Below are 12050 nucleotides of genomic sequence, written 5' to 3'. Positions count from 1 at the left end.
AGAGAATGAAAGAAACGCGCAGAGCCAGAGACTCCTGCCGAGTTAGACCTTCTCTCGTCGCCCCAGGTCACCGGCCATCCGGCAAAGACCCGAGTAAGGAACGCAGGGTCACTGCCTGGGCCAACAAATGGAGCCCGCTCTCCCCTTCCCGGACGCCGCTGCCCGGCCGATGCTCCCGGCAACCCACCCGCGGCGTATGCAGAGGAGCCTTTCTCTTTCTCTCAGACCACTTGTCCCGACCAATCTGACCTTCCAAACACATCTGACCGCACCTCCCAGGTGGACACACTAATAGGCTACGGGCTGGAGAGGAGCGGGTGATGAGGAGAGGGATTCAAACCTGCGAACGCTTGGGCTGGGTCGGAGCTGCGGGGGGCCTGGGAGGAGAGAGGGGAGAAGAGAGAAGGAAGGAGAGCGCCTGCCGGGATGGCTGAGCTGCCTCGGCGAGCAGCCTTGGGGTTGCACGCTCTTGTGGGAGATGCTGCTGTTGCTTCCAGGTCGGCAAGAGCGGTTCTAACACCATCGCCTCTCACCCTCTTTCCTGTAAATCCCTAGAGAAACGTCCCTGGCCTCTCCGCCGCGACATTCCCAGCCTGCATCCCCCTACAGCCTAGGCGGCGCGCTCCCGCACGCTGGAGCGCCGGTCGCCAGCAGGACGCCCTCTCCCGCGCCGACTCGCCCCTCTCTGCCCTGCTGCTGCTGCTCCTCTGACACCTCCGCCCCCACCATCTCCAGCTCGGAGAGACGCCACCCAGCCGCGGCCCGCACTCGCGGCCCGGGGTCACGCGCGGAAGAGGGGCGCTAGTCCGGACCCCGCCTTCGGTAGGGGGCGTCCTGGAGCGGAGAGTGAGGCGAATGGTATATGAGTGTGCGGGTAGCCCACCCTGAAGCCCGAGCTTCTCATTTGAGCCATCCCCGCCTAGCCCCACTCGGGCCAGCGCCTGGCGAGCGAGCCCATCTGTGGCTTCCGCGGCCGCCTCCTCCTTGCATCCTTGCACCTCCTCGTCGACCCCTCCCTCCCGGGACCTGCATCCTGCTCCACCAATCAGAGCCCGACTGCCTCTTCCCACGTGACCCCGGGCGGGCTGAGGACCTGCTGCTTCCCAAACGCCAGAGGGATGCGGGCGGCAGAGCTCGAGAGGCGGCTGCCGGGCTGCGGGGCGCCTTGACTCTCCCTCCACCCTGCCTCCTCGGGCTCCACTCGTCTGCCCCTGGACTCCCGTCTCCTCCTGTCCTCCGGCTTCCCAGAGCTCCCTCCTTATGGCAGCAGCTTCCCGCGTCTCCGGCGCAGCTTCTCAGCGGACGACCCTCTCGCTCCGGGGCTGAGCCCAGTCCCTGGATGTTGCTGAAACTCTCGAGATCATGCGCGGGTTTGGCTGCTGCTTCCCCGCCGGGTGCCACTGCCACCGCCGCCGCCTCTGCTGCCGCCGTCCGCGGGATGCTCAGTAGCCCGCTGCCCGGCCCCCGCGATCCTGTGTTCCTCGGAAGCCGTTTGCTGCTGCAGAGTTGCACGAACTAGTCATGGTGCTGTGGGAGTCCCCGCGGCAGTGCAGCAGCTGGACACTTTGCGAGGGCTTTTGCTGGCTGCTGCTGCTGCCCGTCATGCTACTCATCGTAGCCCGCCCGGTGAAGCTCGCTGCTTTCCCTACCTCCTTAAGTGACTGCCAAACGCCCACCGGCTGGAATTGCTCTGGTAAGTCCAGAACCCCCGTCCCCGACCCTTTAACTCCGCAGAAGAACACGCGTATCCAGCACAGACCAGCCTACCCTAGCGCGCCTCCTCAGCCCCTCACCTCCTACTGCCCTAGACCCCTAATACCACCCACCTCTATCCAGAGAAACAAGGGGAACTGTTGCAGGCCCGGGGGTGAGGGGTGGTTCTGGGATGGGCAGAAAGTGCAGGTGTAGCAGGAAACCTTTGCATGCTTGCGCTTACATTGGAGCTGCGAGGATTTTGAGAAATATTAAACGGGATGGTTTTCTGGGTTCACTGTTTTGAAAGAGCACCAATCCTAGGGGAAACACTGAAACAGAAGCTTTGTCATCATTAAAGAAAAAAGTCTTACTAGGATGAGGAAGAAATAACTTTATGAGAAAGAATGAGCGAGAAAGCAATAAATCAAATGGTGACTGCAGGGGAATCGCTGATTCCTGGCAAAGGTGCCATGAGGTCGCACTGGTCTCCCGTTGAAGACCAGGTCACACAGATTCTAGAGGAGCTGGGTTTCAATAGAATTTCTCTCTCTCTCTCTCTCTCTCTCTCTCTCTCTCTCTCTCTCTCTCTATCTATCTATCTCTCTCTCTCTCTCATTCCCTTCTCTCCTAGGCGGCAAAAGACATTGGTTTTGCAGTCCAGATATGCCCCTCTCTTTGCTTCCCTAAGCTTCAAGGTAGTACAGGGGAGTTGAGAAAAAGAACACTTTGCGGGTCTCCCAGGCCGGAGTGGGCATGACTGAGGCTGGTCAGGCTCCATGTAGGCGAGCCGAGGGCGGAACCGACTTCAGTGGGCGCTGACTCCTCCATTTCTGGACAGGCTTCTGTGGAGTGGGTCAGGCACTCTTCTTGCTCGCTCGGGTTCCTTCAGATTCTGACGGCGAACGCTTGGCAGGCTTCGCTCTGCTGAAGCTTCCTAATTAAATAGGGCCAGAGGATGGGAGTTGCTGCACTCCTAGCTGGCATAGCATTTCGGTTTGACAGCCTGTAGTATACTGGGCAGAATTGTGGTGTAATTTCCTTGGCATTTTAAACTCCGTTAACATGCCTGGGTATTGTCCCCTAGGTGTGGTCTGTTCTAGTTTTAGCAAGTGTGTATGTAATTTTTCATCTTCTGTGAATATAATTTTGCTGTAGTTAAATCTGGCTCTGAATAAAGTGTCTTTCAAAGATGTATATAAGCTGAAGTGTATGTAACTTTAGAGAGGAGGGAATGACCAACTGTAACTCAGGGTGAAAGCCTGTATAGTTCCTAGTTATTACTGATGTAAATGCCAAAAGGAAAATTATTATGCATCATTCTAATTTATCCTTTACAAAGACAAGTTGAGATATGCAACCCTATTAGATTTGGGTCAATAGATTGTTCTCTTTTTTGGCAGTTTCTAAATTTGGCATTTTAATAAAACTCAACATGTTTCTATAACTTCTTGATTCATGCGTACATGTGTGTTGTTTTTGAAAGAATAAGTTTCACTTTGCTATTGCCTAATCACTTTTTAGATGCTTTATTATGGTAATAATTATGAGCCTGCAAAAACAATTTTTGGAAATGTTGATGGCTTTGTAGTCCAACACAGACTGGTTTGCTTCATTCCTAGCCCTTGCATTGTTTTAGGAAATAACTAACTTAAATGTGAAGTTGACATTTGCAATCAAGAAATTACATATTTACCAGATATTTTAAAGGGGACTGCATAAACTAAAGAGAATAAACTGGTTTTGCAGATAGGTTGTCAAGAACTTGGCACCCCGCTTCCACCCCTGTTAACTTAGAGGTGATCAATCTTCATTTGAGCCAAACAGACCATCACAGAAAACACTGTGCCTGTTTATCTTTATTATTGAGGCTTTGTTTCCTCTTTGTCTGGATACATTTCAAATAAGGGGTTGTTTCAGTCGTTGAAGCAAAAGAACAATTAAAGATGGGGAAATGGTAAAAGGGTATTCAGAGATCATCACTAGCTCTTTTCCAAAATGTGGAGTTTTGTGGTCATAAATATTGTCCACCTAATGAGCAAAAAATAAAAATAAAAAAAAAACAGGAAGCAAATGTTAAGCTTTCATTCACCACTGTCAGTATTAACGCAAGCTTTAAAAAATAGCACTATCAGAAAAGGATACTAAAGGAGAATTGACTAGAAAAGAATTGTGGAAAATGGAAACGAATATTGATCACTTAACTAGATTTTGAGGTTATCAGTAGACAGTGACCTTGCAGTACAGCTATAGTTGTTGGATTTAAAATTTAGGACAAGTATTTTAAAGCTTCAAAGTAGTGCTTTTTTTTGTTAAAAATCTGTAAGATGTTTTAATGACTGGAGTGTTCTCTTTGAATTTGAGGTTATGATGACAGAGAAAATGATCTCTTCCTCTGTGACACCAACACCTGTAAATTTGATGGGGAATGTTTAAGAATTGGAGACACTGTGACTTGCGTCTGTCAGTTCAAGGTAAGAAGTCTTATATTTGCATCTTCTAATTCATTAATGAGACTGCAAAGCAGGAATCTTCCTTTACAGCCTATCACTTGGAAATTTATAGCTATGCAAGCTAAGAGGGAAGCTGGCACCAAGCAAAAGTACTAGCAAGAGAGCCAACTGATGTCAAGAAGACATACGCTTTTTGGAGAAATGTATATGCCAAAGTTATAAATGCTGCTGGAGGTAGAAAGCTTCAGGTTGTGCTTTTGGGATGTCAAAGGAAAATTATGTTTCTCTGACCCTTCTAGCATCACTTTAAAAGTGAATTGACTGGGGATAATAGTCAAAATAGGGGGTAAGAAGTGTGGACTTATTCTTTTGTTCTTTTTGATTGGGGCTATCATCTTTTTATCTTATTGCTATCTGTTTTAATGGTCTTGGCCTTTATTATCCTTGCAACCTGACTAGGTTTTTAAGGTAACTCCTTATTAGTGTAACCTCAACACTTTGTTCTAATTTGGAAATCATGGAACTTATTAATTAGTGTATATCAGCTTTTTCATAGATACCACACTCAATTAGAACTGAATCCCCTAGGAATCCAGAAGAGCATTTAGATCCACAAGTCATTTTATGAACATCAGGAAATGTACTTTTTCTTGTGTTAATTTCTTTTAACTAACAAAGAGAGAAAGAAGTTGCACTACTGGCATGATCAAAACTGGGTTATTAGTATCTATTAAAGATAGAACTTTTAGTGTCATTAGTATAGTCATTAGCTAACAAATGCTTTCCACCATGTAAGTTATAAAACTTTTCCTCTCAAAGTGTTCATATAATCATGCAGAACTTCAAGTAGCATGGATGTTGTACTAATAGCCTATATTTGCCCTTGAGTATTTTAAGTTACTTTTAAAAATACTTTTAAAATCTGACAATATGACTCAACCAGGAAATATGCACATAAACAAAACTGTATGTGAGATAATGAAAACTTTTCTAAGATTGTAAGAATAAAAATGATATAGAACAAATAAAAACAATAAACTCAAATTTAGACCTAGATATCTGGTTAATAAGTAATATTTAGAATTATTGATGAAATTTAAATATTTTAGATGGAATTCAACCTCCCACTAAGAAAGAGAAGAGAATTCACATTTAAATAAAGTTTAAGTGGCTTTTAGAAATGCTAAAACCTTCTTAGACATTATTTTATTCTTTCTAAGAAACATAATAAGACAACTGATATTTGTAAAGTGCACCACCTCCTGGTGGGTAAGTAGTGCTCTGACTGTACAGTTTTTTAGACCATACCATAGTGTCAGAAACATATTCTTGCATATTTAATATGCATGTAACGTCAACTTCTAAGGTCTGCAGCCACATTAAACAGTGCCATTATGTACTTCCAATGAACTACATGAGAGAGATAGAGTATGAGAACTCCCCAATTCATACTTACCCAAATGTTAACTAAACAGGAAAAAAGCACAGTTGGATAAATCATTAATTAAAGTCCCAGAGAATTTTGTGAATTTTTTCCTTCTTTCCCTTTGTGATTTCCATAAATTTGTCTTATTTTCATAACCATGGGTAGACAAAAGCAATGAACTCATAAAAAGTATCAAATGAACCAGGAAAAACATTCCTGAAATGTAAAGCCATGGTTCTAAGATTTCACCAGGAGAAAAAAAAAAGGGGTTGACAGAACTCTAAAGGGATGAATGCTACGAAATGAAAATAAATAATTTTCTTATTAAAGGAATTGTTTTCATTTTATAGGTGCCACAGAAGATTTTGGTAAAACTTTTATCAACAAAAATATTTGTGTTTTTCATACATTGGCCAGTCATGTTTGTCATTAATTTAAATAATCGTTAAGTGGAATAGATGGGGGAGTGGAAACGAATGCAAGTCTGTGTAAGAAACTAAAATGTAAATTGTTTTTTTGTAATCCTTGTGGCATTTTAAATGTACTAGTGTACTACTACTGCTATTAGTTTGTGCTTTGCAATAGTTGTCAATCTGGCAAGAAAAAATAAACATCTCCCTAGTGGAAAATGTAGACTTTGCACATACCAAGAATATAGAGTGGCTGAATTAAGTTGAAAATCAAAGAAAAGTATAAGTTGCATGAAGAATAATAAATAGGATATTTTAAGCTAAGAGTCTCTTGAGTCCATCTTTTCCCAATACATGAATTTGAGTTTTTGGTGTTTGTTATTTTAGCCCTAGTATCTGATAAAAAGGGAGAGGTATTGAAAATCTATTTTCCTATATATTATCCTAAACTTCTGTTTCTTTCTCTGCTGCCTTTTCAGGTACAAGCGTGCATTCCTTTTTTTTTTTTTGGAATTTTTGGAGACAAGGGTCTTGCTCTGCCACCCAGGCTGGATAGTGGTGATGCCCTCTTGGCTCACTGCAACCTCCACCTCCTGGGTCCCAGCAATTCTTGTGCCTCAGCCTCCCGAGTAGCTGGGAATACAGGTGCACTCCATCATTCTCAGCTAATTTTTTTGAATTTTAGTAGACACACGGTTTCACCACGTTACCCAGGCTGGTCTCAAACTCCTGCCCTCAGGAGATCCACCCGCCTCGGTCTCCCAAAGTGCTAGGATTACAGGTGTGAGCCACCACACCCAGCCTGCAATCTATAGTCTTTCTAGCTGAGAGATAAATTTCAAAGAGAAATGGGCATATATTTTTATACCTATAATGTTTTCAATTTGCCTTATCACTGGAACACTAAAGTAAACATTATTAGCCTTCACCTCTCTTAGACGATTTTAAATAAACTGATTTCTGTCCTTCAAACATATTATCTCATTTATTTCTCACAACCCGGTGAGATAATTGTTTTCTCCCCCCTTTTTTAAACTTTTATTTTAGGTTTTGGGGTACATGTGAAGGTTTATTACATATGTAAACATGTGTCACGGGGGTTTGTCGTACATATCATTTCATCACCCAGGTATTAAGCCCAGTAATTATGAGGATGAAAATTTGGAGACAGTAGATGGACAGATAGATAGATAGATAGATAGATAGATAGATAGATAGATAGATAGATAGATAGATAGAAAAGCGGGGAGGAAGGAAGGGAGGGAGGCAGAGAGGGAGGAAAAAAGGAAGGGAGATGCATGCAGATATTTATAGATAACCCTGGTCATGCAGTGATCAATAACCACTTTATAATTTAAAAATATGATGAAGCCTTATGTTTTTCAGGTATTACCTAATTCAGATACTAAATGTTTTTATTTAATAAGTCGTGCTTTAGATCTACAAATGTTCTTATTAGTAAAGCTGCGTAACAGACTGCCCAGTACTTAGTGTCTTAAGACAATGAATATTTATTTTGTTGATGAATCTGCCATTTTGGTAGGGCTTAATCGAAACAGCTCACCTCTGCTCTCTTTGGCATTAGCTGATGGTGAGGGGAGGGAATTCAAAGGCTTGGTGCTATACCGATCTGAGGGTTCTCACTCATATGTCTGACTGTCAGCTGAAGACCTTGGTTCTTCTCCATGTTGATCTCTTTGCACGGGCAAGTTTTGTCTTCCTCATAGCATAGTGGCTGAGTTTCAAAGTCAAGCATCCAGAGAGAAAGAAAGAGCCAGGTAGAAGCTATATCCGTTAATGACCTAGCCTGGGAAGGCACACAGAGTCATTTCCACCATAGTCACAGGCCTGTCCGCTCTTAAAATCATAATTTTTTTACATTTAAGGAAATATAAATCACAGAAAAGTAAAAATTACTTATGGAATGGCCAAAGGATTGGAACATATGCAGATTTTTTTAATCTTTTTTCCCTTTTGGAAGAAAAATATACCATATCCCAAGCCATTCTTCTTAAGCCTTTGACAACTGGGAATATAACAGAATTGACTTAACATCTGTTGAGCACCTTCTACATGCCAGACTCTGTGGAAGGTGCTGGCAATATATAAAACATAAGTCATACATAAGCTTCTAGATGCTGAAATCTCAGCTCAAAAAACCTGTATTAATCAAACAAGCAATAAATCCCATGAAAAACTTCTCACATAATGTTTATTAATTTGTAGCAAAAATGAATTTCATGCATTCTAGTGTGCCAAGTAATTGAATCCACTAGTGTGGTGGGTAGCCCATTTTGGAACAGAATTCTTCTACTGAAAAACACTTATTTGGAAAATAAACATAAGATTTTTAAAACATAGAAAAATAGAATCACTTTCTCCCCTGAGAGGAAGTTTGTACAACACATACGTTTATGGACCTAACCATCTGAACTTGAGTCTTGTTTTTCCTCTTACCAGGCAACTGTGTGGTCTTTAGCAGGTCACTTAACATCTGAGTCCGTCCCTTCATCTGAAACTGAGCAGTATCATGAATACTACTAAAAACTATTTCCAATAATTTGGCATATTTTAATGCAGTAGTTAGGCTATTTCATGCTTAGGGTTAGCCTGTTTCCTCTTGTTTTTCTAATTCTAGAAACACCATGGCTTGATGTTAGAGTTAGATGATAACTCTACTAGTTAAAATACATATCATACAAAGCAAATAATTTACATGTCTTTGTATAAGTGAGTATTACAAGATATTTCTTGTTTTAAAAACATGACTTTGTTAATTTCCCAAAAGTTCCAGGTAAGCATTTCAAATGGGAAAACTAGGCTATAAACCTGTTAAATATTTCATTGTTAACTAATATACAAAAGGTCCTACACCAAGACAGTGAAAGAGATAGGACAACTTAGGACTAGACTCCCACTCGTGAGCTTTCATGATTTACAGCGTGCTTCCTTCTGGTGTTCTTCATATTAATAAGTGCAAGTCTTGATACTAAGGGCCAAAAACATCATGCCAGTAATCTACAGTTAAGCTCTTTTCAGCTCTGTAGAAATCTCCCTTTTGGCTTGTGCATGGAACTTGGCAGCTCTGTTTTTAGAACTGTTCGAATTTGGCTTACTGCATCCCTCAGAAGCGGCATATGAGCACTTTATCAGTTTATTCGATATTTTAAGATGCATATCAGCATTGTGTACTAGCACTTGGGAGAGATAATAAATACTTTCCACTCTCCACTCCCAGTTCACTGACTTTATATTTGAGTAATCTGAGAAGGATAAATAAATAAAATTTAAGGATCGGAGAGAAGAAAACACGGACCCAAATAATCTACATACAAAGTATTATAAGCAGGGATGGAGATGGAGATTGAAAGGTAGCCCGGGGCAAGAATACCAGGCCTCAAGCATGAGATGTTAACTAGTCCAGCTAGCCATAGACACATTATGACTCTCTTCTGTCTACTGAAAGGATCGGCAAGTCTATCGATCATTATGTCACCAGCTGTTTCCTTCTTTCTTGTCTCTCCTCCACGTGCTCAGACACCACTGTAGTGTTCATAGATCAACATAATCCTACCTACATTCTCCTGTCCCTGGTTCTGATCATAGCACATTTATCAAGCACCTATCCCTGCACTTGCCTTGCTGGCCACAGTTCTGGCATGAGCACAAGCCACATTTATTTGTGGTCTCTTCCGTACTACTCATTGGAAAATTCAAATCTTACAGGCATTTTGCTCCTGCCTTCTTTCTTGGATGGTAGTGGAGATGCTCAGGCCTGTGGTGAGTCAGTTTTCAGATGTAAATTAAAACAAATTTTTGGAAAGCTCCTGGAAAACAGTGCTTACACAGGTATCACCTAATCAGAAGTCAGTTTCTGATTGAGTTAAACATTAGCAAAAGATTAGTGAAAAGCTCTAATCAAATCAGTTTTTTAAATATAATCACATACATAGACTGAGTCTGGGAGACAAAAATGCAACTGTGGAAAAGAATTACTATATAGAGGACTTGCAGAATATCTAGATTATATATTGTAGAAATTAAGATAAAGAATATTTATAAAATATGTGCTAAAGCATCCTGTTAGTAATTATGGTCATCTTAATATGACTGTCATACCATTTGGGTTTACTGTTTGGAAAAAAGTTGATCACAATTACCAAAACATTATATTTAAGTTGTTAATAATATATGAAAAAGTAAAACTTATAGAATTAGGCTTTCATTTCAAAGAACATTGACATTTAAATTTGTTATGATAATTAAGCTATTATTATATAAAGGCAAAGAGCAAGAGTTAAATAGTTGATTAGGAATAAGGAGGTTTAGGTATTGTTAGGAAATAGAGTAAAATAATAAATTTCAGGTTTTAATCAATCAGATTATCAACATGTTGAGAGGTGTTTTCTTTTGCATACATTCTTGAGTTGAGGTTTATTTATGATAGGGTTTTAGGTTTGTTATCACATATATTTAAACTTTACTACCCATCTCACTGTATTATTGGTTTATTTTGTATGTATTCTGAACTCACAGCACATCAAAGATTCAAATATATTAATCAAAAGTAAAACATAGAGTTTTTAACATGCATCTGTAAGTATGATTTTCCTTACTTAGTTTCTGGCATAGGTGAGCATATACAGATAATAATCTTGATCATTATATTTTTTATAATTAAACAATGAAGCACATAAGTAGTAGTAATCATGAGATAATCACATCCCTGGTGTAATTAGCAGGCATAGAACAAAGCCAAGTATCATTAATGCCTTAGAGTATGATTATATTATGATGACTATACCCTGTTGGTTGCCTTAATTTTCACTGTAATATGTGTACTTTTTTAATAATGAGGTTTTTTAAAAATGAACTTTTCTCTTTATGGAATATCTATTAATAGACATACTTTGGAATAGTCGGTAAAGTTTACTTATAGTTCAGTAGTTGTTGAAATTTTTCTCTGAGTTCCATAGTTTTGCTTCTCTCTAGACCATATCCACATCAATATACAATAGTCTAAAGAGGTATAAAAATAAGTAAATCAGTATCTTATCTGACTATTTGGAAATTTACAAGGACTAGAATTCAATAAAAATTCAATTAAATTCAATTAAAAAAACAACTAAGAGTTAATTGATTTCTTTGGCATTTTGGCTATATATTTCCACTCCTAGCACAGATAGACATTACCTTTGTTTTTTAATAGCTTGAAATTAAACTGTATTTTAATTTTTTCCATCAAGTCATATGGGCTACATACTAAAAATAATATTAAGTAGCATTAATATATTTATTCCTATATCTTTATTGTGCTACTTGTCCAGTCACTTTGTTGGGAATTGCCTGATCAATTTAGATGCTTATTTTTGCCCTATCTAAATCAAATGACTGGTTGGCTAACTTGAAATTGGCTTTGTGCATCTTTCAATGATGCCCTTATAAAGACTTATTGGACACAATTAGAATCATTGAAAATGAAGACAAGTGGTTTCTTTTGTAAATGATTATTTCTGTTCATCGTGTCAGAGGGATACAATCTCCAGTACTAACTATAGGCTTACATCTGTGTGTTTCCCAGTGCAACAATGACTATGTGCCTGTGTGTGGCTCCAATGGGGAGAGCTACCAGAATGAGTGTTACCTGCGACAGGCTGCATGCAAACAGCAGAGTGAGATACTTGTGGTGTCAGAAGGATCATGTGCCACAGGTATGTGTGTGATCTTCTTTGAAACCTTCTGCATGGATTCCAAATCCAAAAACCATGTCTTTCATTTCTTGTTATCTCCCAATAAATAATTCAGATTATATGTTGACTAGACAAGCCGTATTGTTTTGTTCAAAACATTTGTTATTCTTATTCTTTGTCATTTTTACATTTCAAATCACTTTTGGAAGAAAGAGGATATCTACCATAAGGACACTGGTAGATTTAAGTACGTATGTCATTAAATGAAATACAGGCAGGTTGAATAAAAGCCACATATAATTAGAAATCTAGATAGACTGCCAACGTGCCAAATATGGAGAAACCTGACTATGTATGAATACAGTTGTATTGTTTATTT

At 40.2% G+C, this 12050-nt stretch overlaps 1 protein-coding gene across 6 annotated transcripts in view, besides 1 other annotated feature; it reads left to right on the top strand.

Moving 5' to 3' along the window:
- Positions 592-1167: an enhancer, noted in NCBI's record as "H3K27ac-H3K4me1 hESC enhancer chr2:193059605-193060180 (GRCh37/hg19 assembly coordinates)". NCBI's record gives its function as "activates a minimal SCP1, AML or CMV promoter by ChIP-STARR-seq in primed H9 embryonic stem cells {active_cell/tissue: H9 hESC(primed)}" and the evidence as "EXISTENCE:reporter gene assay evidence [ECO:0000049][PMID:30033119]".
- TMEFF2 (transmembrane protein with EGF like and two follistatin like domains 2) overlaps positions 1113-12050 on the top strand; it is a 245888-nt gene continuing 234950 nt past the window's right edge. For all 6 annotated transcript variants that reach the window (XM_011510890.4, XM_017003739.3, NM_016192.4 and 3 more), the window contains exons 1-3: positions 1113-1693; positions 4057-4166; positions 11563-11692. In XM_011510890.4, the coding sequence (XP_011509192.1) occupies positions 1522-1693; positions 4057-4166; positions 11563-11692 (412 nt within the window). In that variant the 5' untranslated portion in view covers positions 1113-1521. The remainder of the gene's footprint in view (positions 1694-4056; positions 4167-11562; positions 11693-12050) is intronic.

The sequence above is a fragment of the Homo sapiens genome, chromosome 2, assembly GCF_000001405.40.
Source record: "Homo sapiens chromosome 2, GRCh38.p14 Primary Assembly".
Taxonomy (NCBI): domain Eukaryota; kingdom Metazoa; phylum Chordata; class Mammalia; order Primates; family Hominidae; genus Homo; species Homo sapiens.
The sequence above is the reverse complement of the archived record's forward strand: the minus strand, read 5'-3'. Positions and strand labels throughout refer to the sequence as shown.